This window comes from Homo sapiens, chromosome 17 (assembly GCF_000001405.40).
Source record: "Homo sapiens chromosome 17, GRCh38.p14 Primary Assembly".
Taxonomy (NCBI): Eukaryota; Metazoa; Chordata; class Mammalia; order Primates; family Hominidae; genus Homo; species Homo sapiens.
Window position 1 is genome coordinate 67,558,923 of NC_000017.11, and position 17,595 is coordinate 67,576,517.

The 17,595-nt window shown below is 44.2% G+C and overlaps 1 protein-coding gene and 1 long non-coding RNA gene across 5 annotated transcripts in view, besides 1 other annotated feature; one reads left to right on the plus strand and one right to left on the minus strand.

The window, feature by feature from the left end:
• The window catches only part of PITPNC1 (phosphatidylinositol transfer protein cytoplasmic 1), a 319,976-nt gene that overhangs the window by 181,642 nt on the left and 120,739 nt on the right, over nt 1-17,595 (plus strand). The window lies entirely within an intron of this gene.
• On the minus strand, nt 1,968-16,423 carry LOC124904045 (uncharacterized). Of its 2 annotated transcripts, none has more exons than XR_007065879.1 (3): nt 16,273-16,423; nt 4,300-4,398; nt 1,968-2,180 (listed from the first exon to the last, which is right to left on the minus strand). It is a non-coding gene; the product is annotated as an uncharacterized LOC124904045 (long non-coding RNA). The 2 variants fall into 2 exon arrangements; XR_007065880.1 differs by lacking the exon at nt 1,968-2,180 and adding an exon at nt 3,854-3,939.
• Nucleotides 10,941-11,010: an enhancer, noted in NCBI's record as "active region_12627". NCBI's record gives its function as "activates an Ori minimal core promoter by ATAC-STARR-seq in GM12878 lymphoblastoid cells {active_cell/tissue: GM12878}" and the evidence as "EXISTENCE:reporter gene assay evidence [ECO:0000049][PMID:35858748]".

Consider the following 17,595-nt stretch of genomic DNA (forward strand, 5'->3'; position numbering starts at 1 on the left):
AAAGGCTGCTCACAGCTGAGAGTCTGTCATCAGTCACCCCAGGTGAACCCGGGTTATCTGCCCAGGAGTGGCCATGGGGAGAATGAGGTATGTTTCTGAAAGCCACTAAACTATCTGGGATAGGAATTGCCCTCACAGTCTGGGCCTTATCAAGCTCCCCCAGTAATCCAAAGAGCTGATAGGTGCTGTGTTTAGAGACCAGTGACCCCCATTCCTCCCAAGCCCCGTCTCCTTTCTTAAGCCTTTCTTCCCCGCACCTTCCCCTGAGTCCCAGCCAAGGGGCAGTACAAACCACTGTATTTCATAACTAGGAACACAGGAACAAGTCCAGGGAAGATTATGTTTATTATACCAGACCTCTAGGATTGGGCTTGTTAGGAAATTAAAGAAAAAAAATCTGGCTATCTCATCTACGATGTAAGCTAAGAGGGTGAAAGTCCCTAAGAGTCCCTTCTTTGAGGCCATGGAGTCAGGAGTTAGCGGGTTAGGAAATAACTTTTATCTATGTATCACAATTAACCCTCGATATTTAGTGCAGTACATAATTTTTTTTAGACAAAGGGAAATATCCTTTTTTTAGGGACCAGGCCAAAGAAACAGTCCTCCAGTTGGGGGCACTGATGAGCAAGGCAGCAATTAGGCACGGGCCTGAAAAGCACCCTTGTGGAGAAGAGGACAGTAAGGCCAGGTGTGGTGGCTGATGCCAGTAATCCCAGCATTTCAGGAGGCTGAGATAGGCGGATCACTTGAGGTCAGGAGTTTGAGACCAGCCTGGCCAACATGGTGAAACCTTGTCTCGACTAAAAATACAAACATTAGCTGTGCATGGTGACGCATGCCTGTAATCCCAGCTCCTCGGGAGGCTGACCTTGAACCCAGGAAGTGGAGGTTGCAGTGAGCCGGGATCATGCCACTGCACTCCAGCCTGGGTGACAGAGCAAGACCCTGTCTCAAAAACAAAAAATAAACAAACAAAAAAACCCAAAAACAAAGAAGATTATGTGAGACCGGTGTCATCACAGAGCCAGAACGACCAAGCTCAAAAATCGTCACAGTTCTAGAGAATTTAGATGGAAGCAGTCTAGAACCATTTATAACTACCATTCAAGATGGTACACAGCCCATTAAGTAAGGGATGGGCTATACAGAGCTAAACAGATTTTATAATTATAGGACTTCTCAGAGCCTTTCTTATTCTAATGTACATTGTGAATCTCCAAAGGGAGCTGTGGCATGCAACGTTTCCCGAGCTGATTTGTCCAAGGGATCTTGGATTTTGCAAGGCCAATCTTTTAAGACTTAGAGGTGTTCCAGAAACTTCTCTTTAGGTCAGAGCCATTATGTGCCCACTAACTATGCCAGTGGATCAATTCTATTTCAGTAAATGTTATTTTTTTCTAAATTTCAGTGAGCTAATGTGTTGCCTGAAGATGACTATTACTCAGATACCAAAGTTTTTTGAAGAATGCCCAACAGTAATGGAAGTGTTTTATTTTTAGAATCAGGTGACACAGAACCCGTAAGTTCCTTTTCAAGCAAAGTCAGTTCTGTTCAACCACACAGCAAAGTCAGCAGTACGTTGGGATGGCAGTGGGTTTGTGCATTTGGATTTGTTTCCATTTAGAAAATGAACTGGTTGTATGGACGAGCCAGTTGCAAACCAGCCTATTCACAGATGTACCGCTGCCCTTGTGTGGGACCAGAGCTCGCCTCTACATCTCAGCACCCCAATTAGTGCCTGGTGAAGCAGGAGCTTTGGAACAGCCAGTTTTGTTTGTTCAGATTATCCCGTTTCCACTTGCTCTAGCTGTTCCCAAGCTCTTCTTTGGACTTCAGAGAAAATTAATTCAGCCATTTTGAGGGGAAAGAGCAGGTGATAGAACACGTGGCTCTACTGTAACAAAACATAACATTTTAAAATTGTTTGCATTTTTTTAACACCACTCGAAATGACTTTACAGAGGGCAATCAGCAGAGAATACAGAGTTGTTTAAGGGAATGTTTGGTAGAAGATTTTACTAAGAAATTCTCCTTTTCTTCTTTTTTGTTTATTTTCCACTTGCAGTACTGAAAAATTTGATTTCCCTTCTGCAGTTTACAAATGTCTGTGGAGTTGTGTTCAGCTCAGTTGTTGAGATCTGCAGAATACAACTGGAAAGATTTTGTGAGCAGATTTCTTTCTGTAAAAATAAAACAGTATGACTATGGGTATACCAACATAGTATATTTCAGGGATTAAAGTGAATGCAAAGGCCGGGTGTGGTGGCTCATGCCTGTAATCTCAACACTCTGGGAGGCCGAGGCAGGTGGATCACTTGAGGTCAGGAGTTCAAGGCAAGCCTGGCCAACATGGCGAAACCCCACCTCTACTAAAAATACAAAAATTAGCTGGGCGTGGTGGTGTGTGCCTGTAATCCCAGCTACTCAGGAGGCTAAGGCAGGAGAATCACTTGAACCTGGGATGCGGAGGTTGCAATGAGCCGATATCTCACCATTGCACTCCAGCCTGGGTGACAATGTAAGACTCTGTCTCAAAAAAAAAAAAAGGGAATGCAGAATTGCCCTGAGGTCTTTGATCTTTTTGATCAGTAAGATAATGTGAACTACACGATAGTGTGTATTTCTTTACTGTCTAGACAAGTGTTGATACATCTTTTCAGTTCAGAATTTTAAACATCGATTCTACTTTCTTAAGTGAGAATTTGCTAGGTTGGTGAAGGGGGATGATTCTTAACCCTTTTTAACTGAGAAGGCTTGCCGTCTGAAAGTTTCTTACCTGGCCATATGCTCACCTGTATTTGGGAAGTCACACTGATCCATTCCCATCTCTGTTATTATTATTTTTAATTATAAATTAGAGGCAGGTTTTCGCTATGTTGCCCAGGCTAATTTTGACCTCCTGGGCTCAAGCAATCCTCCTGCCTCAGCCTCCCAAAGTGCTGGGATTACAGGCGTGAGCCATCACGCCTGGCCCTATCTCTGTTATTTACATGCAATTCTTTTTATTTGATGTGGTCTCCCTGTCTCTTTAAATTCTTGTCTTGCCATTATAGTATGTAGATATCAGTATTCATGAGCATCCTCTGCTTATTTCTGCCTTGACAAGTCCAGCCCTAGATCGTATGAGCCTGAATTTCGTTTCCCTGCATGATTATCCTAGAAGTGCAAGTGAGTAGCAAACCATCCCCCATTCAGAAAACATGCTTTCATTCATGTCTTCGGCTCTGTCTCCCTTCTGGCCTTGCTTTCCTAGTGAGTTGCTATTACTCAGCATGTCAGAGGACGGGAAGAGGATCCATGAGTGAATGAACTAATGAATGAACAGAAGCCTCTGTGTAGGGTGCGGGCTGGTGAGGAGCAGCGGAGAGGCCCGCGTGCATTTCCATGCTGTAGCTGGAATACAAGCAGCTGTTTTCCGGCTGTGTTTCGGAGCTCTGCCTTCCACACAGTCCCTTCCTCTCACCCTCCTCCACATCTCTTTCAGGTCCCACCATTCCTCTTGGCCACATTTTTCTTCCTATGCAGCATATATTTAGGAAGTCACTCTGATTCATCCTCATCTCTATTATTTACATGCAATTCCTTTTCTTCCTTTCCTCTTTCCTTGAAAAGTCTACTTTTTTTTTCCCCACTTGAGTTCTTCTTCTCACTTTTGTGGAACTATCTTCTTTGCAATTTTTTTCTCCAACTACCCTGTCACCATAACCACCCACCTTATTTGTATCTAAAGTCATACGTAACCCTCACAAGGCAGAAGGGCGAAGGGAGCTCAAATATCTCCCCTTATTTCCTTTGCATCTTTGCCTGTATGATAACTAAGGTTCTGAGTAGAGGGTGACGGCCAGACATTTACCTTTTTGAAATTGATGTGTGTATTAAAGATCTTCTGTGCACAAAACAGAAATTTATATTTTGCCTTCCAAGCGTGGGGTAAAATTTCTATCAAAATGGGGAGATAAAAATTTTTTAATGAATAAAGGAAGCTGAAAGGTATTTTAAGATCTAGGTTCTACCAACTGTCTGTATACACATTTATCATCCACTTTCTTCTACTTTTCAAGCAACACAGGCTTTTCTCATTTATTTTCCAGTAGCTCCAGCCTCAGAGTCCTGGAAGATAATAAGCCCTAAACTCTATGCCTGCCCTCATTAGCACTGTGGAACATTCTGGATGTGAGTCTCCTGTTGGTGAACAGAGGAAACACTTGCAAATCTAGTTTTATTAATGATCCCATCTTAAGTTGCAATTCCCAGTGTGGCTTTGGAGCACAGTTAATATGACAATATAGAATACAGTACCAGAGAATCGATGTCATCTACAGGGGAACTCCATTAGAGAGAAAGTCAAGTCTGTATAGAGTTTCGTGCTTGTGGATAGCAGGGAACACGTTCTACATACTGTTGGAACAAGATGGCAAGAGAAGAATGCATTGAATTCCAGATAAAAGCTAAAAGGAAATTGTCTTTTAAAAGCCTATAAATACTTCATCAACCCCAAGCCAGCTCCTCAACTCTTCCATTTAACTTTCTTGATGTTAGGCCCGTTGTAAAGTGCTGCTCTCAGACATGGAAGAATTTGGGCTGGTAAACAAGAATAAAGCGTTGAGTTACTGGGCTGAGGGTTCTTCTCAATGAGTGGTTTTCAAACTGTCCTCCTTTAGGTCCAGGAGATTCCATGGACAGGTCTCAGTGGCCATTCTGTCCCTAATATTTTATTTAAAGAAAAACTCTGATGCCAGTTAAAATGGTTTGAAAACTACTGAACTGTAATATCTCTCAGCTCCTGCCCTACTCTAAAGACCATGAATAAGTGTGATGTATGTGGGACAGGAACCACTTGAAGCAGCAGTTCCCAAATTTAACAGATTTGCAACTCCTCTGTCTACTTAGTGGTGCTTATATTAGTCAAGGTTCTCCAGAGAGACAGAACCAATGGTGGGGGAGATGTGGGGAGAGAGAGAAATGGGTGGATGGATAGATAGATTAGATAGCTAGATTAGATATGTAGATTAGATAGATGGATGAATAGATAGATGATTGATAGATATTAATAGATAAGAGAGATGGATAGATAGATTAGCTAGATTAAGTAGATAGATAGATGATAGATATTAATAGATAGATTGATTAGATAGGTAGATTGGATGGATGGATGGATTGATAGATATTAACAGATAGATGGATAGATTAGATAGGTAGACAGATTAGATAAAAAGATAGATTAGATAGGTAGATTGGGTGGATGGATGGATGGATGGATGGATGGATGGATGGATGGATGAGAGGGGATTTGCTAGGGAAATTGGCTCACATGATTAGGGAAGCTGAGAAGTCCCACAACAGCCCACCTGCAAGTTGGAGACCCTGGGGTGCCAGTAGTGTGGCTGAGTCCAAGTCAGAAGGCTTAGAACCAGGGGAGCCGCGAGTGTAGGTCCTGGAGTCCAAAGGCTGAGGAGCCTGGAGTCGTTATCCAAGGACAGGAGGGGAGGAGTGTGTCCCCACTCCAGCAGATAGATCCATACATTTGCCTTTCCTCTGTATTGGTCCTCTCCAGCCCCTCAGCAGGTTGGATGGTGCCCACCCACATTGAGGATGGATCTTCCTCACCTAGTGCATACCAACTCACATGACAGTCTCTGGAAACACCCTCACAGACACACCTAAAATAAGGCTTTACTAGGCTTCTAGGTATTCCTTAATCTAGTCAAGTTGACGCCTAAAATTAACCATCATAGTGTTCTTTATAACATAATCCTCTTTAAGTTAAAGTAGATTAAATTATAAGAATTTTTGGAAAACCTTGTGACTTCCTGTAAGATAATATAGTTACTCTGGGATGCCATTGATGTATTCACTCATTTTTAAATTGGATTTAAATTTTTTCTGCTTACTAAAATAGTAGATATTTATTGTAACATCCAAGCATTATAAAAATCTATACCACAGAAAATAAAAGAACTTCATAATTTCCACTACTCTCCTCCATGAGAATATTTTCCCATGTTTTTCGGTGGGTATACTAGTTTTTCAATGTTTTTCAGTGTGTATACTCGTTTGCCATGTTTTTCAGTGGATATACTAGTTTTTCAATGTTTTTCAGTGTGTATACTCGTTTGCCATGTTTTTCAGTGGATATACTAGTTTTTCAATGTTTTTCAGTGTGTATACTTGTTTCCCATGTTTTTCAGTGTGTATACTAGTTTTTCCATATTTTTCAGTGTGTATACTCATTTGCCATGTTTTCCAGTGTGTATACTAGTTTTCCATGTTTTTCAGTGTGTGTACTAGTTTTCTGTGTTTTTCAGTGTGTATACTAATTTTCCATGGTTTTCGGTGTGTATACTCATTTTCCATGGTTTTTGATGTGTATATTAGTTTTCCATGTTTTTCAGTGTGTATACTAGTTTTTCCATGTTTTTTCAGTGTGTATACTTGTTTTCCATGTTTTCCAGTGTGTATACTAGTTTTCCATGTTTTTCAGTGTGTGTACTAGTAATTTTCCATGGTTTTCGGTGTGTATACTCATTTTCCATGGTTTTTGGTGTGTATATTAGTTTTCCATGTTTTTCGGTGTGTATGCTAGTTTTTCCATGTTTTTTGGTGTGTATACTTGTTTTCCATGTTTTTCGGTGTGTATGCTAGTTTTTCCATGTTTTTTCGGTGTGTATACTTGTTTCCCATGTTTTCCAGTGTGTATACTTGTTTTCCATGTTTTGCAGAGTGTGTACTAGTTTTCCGTGTTTTTCAGTGTGTATACTAGTTTTCCATGGTTTTCAGTGTGTATACTCATTTTCCATGTTTTTCAGTGTGTGTACTAGTTTTCTGTGTTTTTCAGTGTGTATACTAGTTTTCCATGGTTTTCAGTGTGTATACTCATTTTCCATGGTTTTTGGTGTGTATATTAGTTTTCCATGTTTTTCGGTGTGTATGCTAGTTTTTCCATGTTTTTTCGGTGTGTATACTTGTTTTCCATGTTTTTCAGTGTGTATACTCGTTTTCCATGTTTTTCGATGTGTATACTAGTTTTTCCATGTATTTCAGTGTGGATACTAGTCTACTTTCTTTTTGTTTTTACAAAAATGGGGCTATCCTGTTTTACACTTTGTTTTTTTAATGGTTTTAGAGTCGATCCCAATGTACTTAACCAGCCTTCTACTGGTGAACTTTGACTTGTTTCCAAGTTTTTTTATAGGACCAACAATACAGTTAATGAACATGTGTTTTTTTGTAATATTTTTTCACATCTCAGAATTCATGCTGGAGTTCTGGGCAGGGTTTTTTGTTTGTTTGTTGTTTTTTGATACAGGGGCTTGCTCTGTCACCCAGGCTGGAGTGCAGTGGCGCGATCTTGGCTCACTGCAACCTCTGCCTCCCAGGTTCAAGCGATTCTCCTGCCTCAGCTTCCCTAGTAGCTGGGATGACAGGCGTGCACCACCATGCCCAGCTAATTTTTGTATTTTTAGTAGAGACAGGGTTTTGCCATGTTGGCCAGGCTGGTCACAAACTCCTGGCCTCAAGTGATCCACCCGTGTCAGCCTCCCAAAGTGCTGGGATTACAGGCATGAGCCACCCACAGGGCCTGGACCTGTTTTTAAAAGCACTTTCATAATAAGAATTAACCTAAGCCATTATATTTCAATTCAGTTTTTGAAAATTATTGTGTTTTCAAGGTACTAGGGTAATTTGGCATCTAAAGGAATACCAATGAATTTCTGAAATGAATAATTATTTCCCTAATATATCTTTTGAGTAACTCCTGCTTTTCCTGATTTGGGTTTGTTTGAAGCAAGGCACGTCTATCATATGACAGATTCACACACACATATTTTCTCTGCTGTTAGTGGCCACAGCACATACTGAGAAGCAAAGCCTGTGCTTTCAACCTCTGCTTCCCTGGAAGCACTTCCATGATTTCCTGATACTTAAGAATCAGCATGAGATCACAAGCATGCATGTCAGAGCTAGACAGCCTGGCTTGAATCCCATCTCCTCTATGCATTTGTTGTGTGACTTACAGCACACTGTTGGACCTTTCCGTGCCTTTGTTTCTTCATCTGTAAAATGGGGATGTATGAGGGTTAATGAGTTAATAGATGAACTAATATATATCAAATACTCGGACCAGTGCCTGTTGACAGGAAGGACGGTATAACACTATTGTCATTATAACCTCTGTATTGGGTTGTGTCTGTCCCTCACTGGACATGTGGAATGTTGGCCAGGTCTCCTTTGGATTGTCATTTTGACCCAGAACCTCCCAGAGTTAAGAAATACCTGGACAGGCCAGGCGCGGTGGCTCACGCCTGTAATCCCAGCACTTTGGGAGGCCAAGGCAGGCGGATCATGAGGTCAGGAGATCGAGACCATCCTGGCTAACATGGTAAACCCCGTTTCTACTAAAAATACAAAAAATTAGCCAGGCGTGGTGGCAGGTGCCTATAGTCCCAGCTAGTCAGGAGGCTGAAGCAGGAGAATGGCATGAACCTGGGAGGCAGAGCGTGCAGTGAGCCAAAATTGCGCCACTGCAATCCAGCCTGGGCGACAGAGTGAGACTCCATCTCCAAAAAAAAAAGAAATACCTGGGCGACGAGACGTGCTATCAAGGAGGTGGGGAAGTTGGAACTCTCCTACACTGTTCATGGGAATGTACAAGGGTGCAGCCACTTTGGAATGGGGTAGCCGTCTGGAAGTTCCTCAGAAGGTTAAACATAGAGTTACAGTGTGATCAGCAATTCCACTCTAGGTATACACTCAAGAGAAATGAAAACATGGCCGGGCGCAGTGGCTCACACCTGTAATCCCAGCACTTTGGGAGGCCGAGGTGGGTGGATCACGAGGTCAGGAGTTTGAGACCAGCCTGGCCAACATGGTGAAACCCCATCTCTACCAAAAATACAAAAATTAGCTAGGTATGGTGGCAGGTGCCTGTAATCCCAGCTAGTCTGGAGGCTGAGGCAGGAGAATCGCTTGAACCCAGGGGGTGGAATTGCAATGAGCCAAGATCACACCACTGCACTCCAGCCTGGGCAACAGAGTGAGACTCCATTTCAAAAAGAAAGAAAGAAAGGAGAAGAGAAGAGAAAAGAAGAAAGAAGAAAGAAAGATAGAAATCCACACAAAAACTCGCACAAGAATAGCTGTGGCAGTATTGTTCATAGTAGCCAAAAAATAGAAACAAATGTTCATCAACTGATAAATGGAGAAATCAGATGTAGTATGTCCGTACAATGGACTATCATTCGGCCAGAAAAAGGAATGGAGTACCCATACATGCTAGAACATGGATGAGCCTTGAAAACATGCTAAGGGAAAGAAGCCAGGAACAAAAGACCACATATGATACACTTCCATTTGTAGGAAATGTATAGAATAGACAAATCTTAGAGTAGATTAGGAGTTGCGTACATTGTGGTGCTGCAGGTAGGCGGGAATGGGGACGTGACTGCTGATGGATACAGGGCTTCTTTGGGAGGTAATGGAAATGTTCTAAAATTAGATTGTCCTAATGGTTGTATAACTCTGAATATACTGAACACCATTAACTTGTATACTTGAAATGGGTGAATTATATGGTATGTGAATAAAGCTATTTTTTATTTATTTTATTTTATTTTTTTAGAGATGGGATCTTGCTTGCTCTGTCACCCAGGCTGGAATGCAGTAGTGTGATCATAGCTCACTGCAGCCTCAAACTCCTGGGCTCAAGTGATCCTCCTGCCTCTGCCTGCTGAATAGTAAAGCTATATTTTGGGGGGAAAAGGGGGAAACAGCTCCTGAGTTTGGGGGTGGGCTCCCAGAATATACCAGCTTACTGAAAGCGAGGCATCGGGAGAGAGGCCTGGAATCTGTTTTTAACAAGCCCAGCAAATGAGGCATCATTAAGTAGGTCTTAGAAATACACTGTCATAGAGAATACTTTTATTTTTCTTTTACATTGTAAAGTGGGATAGGGTAGGATTAATACATTTTAGCTTACGTTTTTGCCACAGGCTAGGTGCTGTGGAAATACAGTATCCTTTGATGACAATAATGACAGTCTTCAAAGTGAGCGGTGTACATTCTTCCAGAAGTTTCGCACTTCCTGCTTCTGAAGTGCAGTGCCCTAGAGAGCCTCAGACCCATCCCCAGGGCCCCCATTCACTGCAGCCACTATCGTCTCTCTCCCTATGCAGGTGCTGAGACAGAAATAAGGGCTGCCAGCACCACCCAGAAACTGACTATGAAATCCCCAATGTGTCTGACCCTTTCTCTTTAAGACTTTGGTTTGCTTACATTTCATTTTGTTCCTGTAAGTGTTTCTTATTGCCATAGCAACCCTAATCGATCACTGGACCAAAAATAGCTCTTTCATGTTTTCCAAAGCATGTCTGTAGTGAATTGGAAATTCAGTTCTGCCGTGCATTTTGCATATGCTGCTTTCATTTCCCGACACTGAACCTGGGAGGGCTTGTGTCTGGAAATTATTCTTGCAGAGACCCAGAAACCTCACTTGTCTTTCCTGGCGTTCTTCTTCCCCACTGCAGATCCACCCGTCACTTCCAAAAGCTACAAGTAGCTGCATTTAAATGTTCCACCATCACTTTTCTGCACATTGAGTTTTGGGTGCTGGAGGTTTTACAGGTACCAGAATATCACTTTTCAATAAGAGGTTCATCCTGGTGGATTCCGTTGGGTTTGGAAGGCCAATTATAGATGCTTAGACACCAGATAAAAGGAAGAGGGTCATGGCAGGGAGCAGATGGCAGCAACACCTATAAGATTCCTCTGGCTTACGTGGATCTAAGCTAGAAAATCAAAGATGAGATGACAGGAGAGCTCCTGCCTTGACTCCCTGACTTCTTCCTAACACTGCTACTGTTTTTAGGGGGTTGGGGCAAAATAAACACTGGATGTAATTAAGTGAATATTTTCTATGATGCTTTCTCTGCTTTATTCTCCCTGCCAAGCTGTGCCTTTAGTCAAGAAGAGGGAGAGAGAGATAAAAAAGAAAAGATTTTTCATGAGAAAGAGGATTCGAGACCTGGAGTGAGCCCAGAGGAGGAAGAAGAGGTGGAGAGGGACAGAAATGACTCACTGATTTCCCCCAGGCTCCAGGGACAGGCGTGCTTTTTTGCCTCCCCCTCTGCCTGTAAGCAGAGTCATCTCTGTGGCCTCAAGGGTTCCCAACTTCTGTTTTATGCTTCTGTTTCTTAACTTCTTTGAGCCTTGGTTTTGGCGATTGGGTTGAGTGAACCAGCGGACGTGCACCCTTTAGATCTAGGAAAGAAAAGAGTTCACGGAGATCCTGGTAGAGTTTTTGTTCCCTGCATGAAGTCAGCAGGGGGCCAAGGGAAAGCTCAGAGAAGAGGCCAGTGGAAGGGGCACCTGCCCAGAAGAAGGAGCTGCCAAGGATGGAGCCTGGGACACGTGGTGACATTTCCTCAGCAGCAGAGCAGGTCAGGGATTCAGAGTGAGTCTGGAAGAGCCCAGATCTGCTCTGTGGTTTGGCTGCCTTCCTTGCCATGGGAAGAAGCCATCAGGTGTCCTGTGGATGCCTTTCCGGAAGCCTCTGCATCCTTGCATCTTCATAGTGGAGGATCTGCCTTTGACCCCAGCTCAGCTTTCTCGTCCACATTGCCTAGGAGGGTACAATGGAGTGGACCAACATCTCTCCAGCATCTGCCAGGCGCTGCCTGGCCCTGGACATTCGTTATCTCTTTTCATTCTCACCCCACAGCTTTGAGGTTGCAATTGTCTCCATTTGATAGATGAGGAAACTGAAGCTCAGAGGGAATCGTGAATTTGCCCCAAGTCACACAGTTTGTTGGAAAAGAAGCTGCGGTTTGAACTGAAGTCTGTTTTACTCCAAAAATCTGTATTTTTTTTTTTTTTCCTACTAAATCATCATCCTCCCTCTCTGTGGGTTAGGTGCCTGCTGCTGCATCTGGACACCAGATAATGACAAGCTTGCTGACATCAGTTACTAGTAAATATCACCCTGGGCAATAAGCAGTGGCCATTGATTGACAAAGCAGGTGGCATCATAGGTGGAACTAATAAGTCAGAAAAAGCACCAATTCCCCCTTCCCTTGCACTTGCTTGAACCTCAGAGTCGGTGATGCTTTACTCAGATGAAAACCAGATGGGTGATTTGGAAGAAGGCAGCCAGCAGGCTGAGTGTTGTGTTGGTTTTCTCTTGCTGTGTAGCAAATCTCCCACAAATTTAGCAACTTAAAACAACACAAGTGGCTGGGTGCAATGGCTCATGCCTATAATACCAGCACTTTAGGAGGCTGAGGTTGGAGGATCGCTTGAGCTCAGGAGTTTGAGACCAACCTGGGCAACACAGTGAGAGCTCATCTCTACTAAAAGTAAAAAAAATTAGCTGGGTGTGGTGGTGCATGCCTGTGATCCCAGCTGTTCAGGAGGCTGAGGCGGGAGGATTGCTTAAGCCCAGGAGGTCAAGGCTGCGGCGAGCTGAGCTATACTGCATTCAAGCCTGGGCAACAGAATGAGGCTCTGTCTCAAAAAAGAAAAGAAAAGAGAAGAGAAGAAAAATAACACAAGTTTGTTATCTTGCAGTTTCCATGGGTCAGGAGTTGGAACCCAGGCTAGCTGGGTCCTTGGCTCAGGCAACTCACCAGGTAGAAATCAAGGCATCAACCAAGGTTCTAGTTTCACCAGAAATGCAGGGTCCTCTTCCACGCTCACTGGTGGTTGGCAGGATTCATTCCTTGTGGTTGAAGGACGAAGGTCGCGTTTTCTAGCTGGTTCTTCTCCGGCTGTCACTCTCAGTTCCCAGTAGACCTCTCTTGGGTCCTATCCACGTGGCTATCTCACAACTTCAAAGCCAACAAAAGAATCTCTGCTTTTTCTAAAGTGAAGTCTTGTATACACTCTCAGGAGTGACTGACTGTCTTGTCTTTTTGCTATCAATCAAAAGCTGTGCTCCCTCTGAAGGTTCTGGGGGGCAACCAGGGGAGTGACAGCCCATCATATCCCCAGGTTCTGCTCACACCCGAAGGGAAGGATTACACAGGATGTGTGCACCAGTGGCTGGGACTCTGGAGGCCATCTCAGAATTCTGTCTGCCGTGGGTTTTTCAGTCTTTCCTTCATATGCTGTGGGCCAAATGGGACTTTAGACATTCAGCATTTCCAAATGACTGTTCCTTAGAGAGCACGGGATGCTTCAGCAGCCCTTAGACATCTTTTTCTGTTTTAGCCAATGGCTGACGACCCTAGTGTCTCTCTTCTTGGAGCAAGTTCAGGTGTGGTTACATCAGGGTTCCCAACGTTTTTTCCACCCCCACACTCCTGACAGATCCCTCGGTGATATAGAATCCCTCCACCCAAGGACATTTATCAGGATCTTTAGGGAACAGCGCATATTTTGAGAAAAAGTCCAGGGTTGGAAAGTGGGGTTCCCGTCTCCCCATTGACATTGAGAATGACTAGGTTAGATGGTATATTCCTAGTGGAAGCAAAAGTCTTAGTTACAGAAAGCATTATTTGAGCAAACCTAAACTAAAGGAGATGCTTTAACACCTGAAGAAGCTGGGTAAAGCGGGGGGGGGGGGTAAAGAAGAAGGGGGGTGACTTTGATGACCACCATTCCTAGTGGTGCTGGTATTAGGGGGGCACCCTCCTGTTAGAGTGTGAGCTTACCACATGGTTGGTGAGCCTGGGACACAGATAGCTAATGGTAATGGTGACAAAGGAGATACGCGCTGTGATAAAGGGACAAACAGAATGCTGCCAGCATGCATGGGATAATCATTCCGAAGTGGTACTTGAGATGGTCTTTGAGTAAGATTTAGGAAAGAAATTTCGGGCTGAGAGTACCATGGCCAAAAAAAAAAAAAAAGACCTGACAGCAGGAAGTTTTCCAGGGAAGGGGGAGTGGACCTACCTAGATTTAGGGTGGGTCCAAATCCAATGACTTTTGTCCTTGTAAGAAGAGAAGAGAGCACAGAGACCCAGAGGGAAGAAGGGGATGTAAAGACGGAGGCAGAGACTGGAGTGATGCACCCACTCCCGGTGCCACCAACAGCTGGAAGAGACAAGGACAGATTCTCTCCCAGAGTCTTCAGAGGTAGTATGGCTCTGCCAACACCTTGGTTTCAGGCTTCTGGCCTCCAGAACTGTGAGAGAATAAATTGCTGCTGTTTTAAGCCACGCAGTTTGTGGAATTGGCTACGATAATTCTAGAGTACCAGTACAGTCAGGGAGAACATTCGCGTTCATTCTGGACCTTTCAAGTTTGATGAACCTGTAGGGTCTTTGTTGGGGATGGCCAGTGGGCACCTGGAAATGTGAGAGGAGTTGGAATTTGCGATGTTGATTTGGGAGGCATCTGCCAAAAAAGAAAAAAATCATGAAAAGTCAGAAGCAGATGAGATCACCAGGGGAGAGGGTTTGGATCAAGAAAAGAGGCTGTAGGTAGGGTAGGACCTGAGGGATCTCCTGTAGGGAAGGAGTGGAGGAGGGAGGAAAGGGTGAACTGCTGCTCAGGATGGAGGAGTTGCTCAGTCATATTGCAGTGTAGAGAGGTCTCCAGGGTGCAAATGGAAGAGTGATGCTGCTTTGGAAATCCTTTGATGATCAGGTGGGAGGTGGAAAAAGTAGAGACAGGAAGCACTGAAACTGAATACTCTTTTTTTTTTTTTTTTTTTTTTTTGAGATGGAGGCTTGCTCTGTCGCCCAGGCTGGAGTGCAGTGGCGCAACCTCAGCTCACTACAACCCCCGCCTCCCGGGTTCAAGCGATTCTTCCCGCTCAGCCTCCCGAGTAGCTGGGATTACAGGCATCTGCCATCATGCCCAGTTAATTCTTGTATTTTTGTAGAGATGGGGGTCTCACCATTGGCCAGCCTGGTCTTGAACTCCTGACCTCAGGTGATCCACACACCTCGGCCTCCCAAAGTGCTGGGATTACAGGCATGAGCCACCATGCCCGGCTACTGACTACTCTTTTAATAAGTTTTTTTATGAAGACAGAAAGAGATACGGAATTGATTATAGATGGGGGAAGAAATAGGATCAAGGGAACTTTGTGCTTATTTATTTTTTAAGACTGTGTCTCTTTTCATTATATTTTTAGGCTGTGGGAAGGAAGCAGGGAAAAGATGCAAATAATCAATGAAACAAGGTTCCAGAGAAGAGCTTACAAATAATTTGTACTGTGCACCTACTATGTGCCAGTCACTGTGCTGGGGTTTAGCTGTGTGATCTCATTGATCTTCTGAACACTCCTACAGAGCGGAAAAGGATTGTCCCCATTCTCCACCTGGGGCAACTGGGGCTGAGAACAGTAAAATAACTTGCCCAGGTTGATACATCTTGGATTTGAGCCCAAGTCAGCTGGCTCTGATGTCTCAGTGCTTTTCATTATATTATTTCTCCACTGAAAAAGAGGAGGATATATCTTTCTCGGATTCACAAAGAATAAGAAACGTAAAGAAATAAGCAGATTTGTAATGGAGGAAAGGGATGTGTCAGTGTTTCTATCATGCAGTTCATGTCCTCATTAAACTATGACTCAAAGTGATCAGCTGCAAGGGAGAGGGGAGAAAGGGTGAAGCCAGGCAAGGGACCTTGAGAGGGTAAGGGATGTAGGATAGATCAGTGGATGAGATATAACAGGGAGCCAATCAGGAAGAAATAAAAGACCTTGCTTTAAAGCTAAGCTTCCGCTAGGATTAGTGGGCTGGATTTTTGGAGAAACCAGCCTGCATGGGGGAGGCAGAAGGTTATCTTAACATGGACATCACCCCTGAGAGATTTCAGTGACGGCACTGAAGAAGCCCAGAGCCACAGATAATTCTGATTTTAACTCAAGACACCCGCACACCCCAGGACTCTGAGAACGAGTCATCAGACATCCCAAGGGGATTATCAGCCCCAACCACCTGCCGAAGGAGAAAGTACTGACCCGCTTGGAGTTACCAGGAGCTGTTCTCTGGCCACCCTGCTGAAGCCAGGTGCACTACTCCTAGCCTCGTGGCAAGGTTGCCATTCTGATATGAAAATAACCAAAGTCCCCACTCAAAAATAACAACATCTGCTAATTTGCATGGGAGTTTTGCATTTCATAATTGGGTTTAATACGCAAATGCTAAAATTCATGTGTTGGGCTAGCTAAGTGGTTTAGAGGTTCAGTGGGTAAAAACTCCTCACAGTGTTCCACTCTGGTGCACCGAGACCCACACCCACGCTCCACAACTCTGTACTCTCCCCACTCCTTGGTTTGACTCTCATATGAATTATGGGATAAAAAATACAAAATCGATTTACCTAAAGGCTTGTCGTGTCTAAGAGGGTCTCAGCCAGGGCATCCCCCCACGTTCTCATGTCTGCTTTGGGGCTCTGAGTCCTCCAGCGTCTTCATTTGAGATGAGCAGCTGCTCCTTGGTGCTACCTGAACCCGGATATAAGGGCAGCGGTTATGGAGTGAGAAGTTTGAGAGGAGACAGCAGAGAGGGTGTTAATGAATAATCGCAGGGCCTTGTTCTCCATAAAGGCAATTACTGGGATTGATTGTTTCCGTGTTTCCTTAGTCACGGTTCAGATCCCTTGTTTCACTCAGATTAAGACAGATGCGTGCTGAACGCGTCCTGGCATGTGATGTCAGGAGAATTATCGATGGCACGTCCCAGGCCTCTGTCTTCTCGTGCAGGTGCCACCAGGGGTCTCAGCTGGGCTGAAAGGGGAGCGTGGTCATTGTGCGGCTGAAGCATGTGTGTGCTATAGCCAGGTGGTTTTCCAGGTTGAGCATGCCTCAGCATACACTGGAGGGCTTGGTAAACAGATTGCTGAACCCCACCTCCAGAGTTTCTGATTTAGTTGGTCTGCTGAAGAATTTGCCTTTCTTTCTTTCTTTCTTTTCTTTCTTTCCTTCTTTCTTTCTTTCTTTCTTTCTTTCCTTCCTTCCTTCCTTCCTTCTTTCTTTCTTTCTTTCCTTCCTTCTTTCTTTCTTTCCTTTTTTTTTTTTTTTGAGACTGAGTCTCACTCTGTTGCCCAGACTGGAGTGCAATGGCATGATCTCAGCTCACTGCAACCTCCACGTCCCAGGTTCAAGCGATTCTCGTGCCTCAGCCTCCCAAGTAGCTGGAATTACAGGGGTACACCACTACACCTGGCTAATTCTTGTATTTTTAGTAAAGACGGGGTTTCGCCATGGTGGCCAGGCTGGTCTCAAACCCCTGACCTCAGGTGATATGCCTGCCTTGGTCTCCCAAAGTGCTGGGATTACAGGCATGAGCCACCGTGCCTGGCCAAGTATTTGCATTTCTAACAATTCTGGGCTGCTGGAGCTGGTCCAGAAACTCCTCTTTGAGAACCACTCAGTATGGTGAAGAGTATGGACACTGAGACCTGGCCACCTGGCTGCATGAGACTGTAGGCCATTTACTTACCCTCTCTGCACCTCCATCTCCTCATCTTTAAAGCAGGGGGGGATGGTAATAGTACCTCCTTCACGGGATTGTTGCCAGGAATAAATGAGTGAGAGCATCAGAGCATTTGTAGCAGTGTCTGGTATAGACAGTATGTGAGTACTGGAATCATGTATAAGGGATCCAGCCTCTTGGGACTGTGATGCTATCAGGCCAAGTCTGG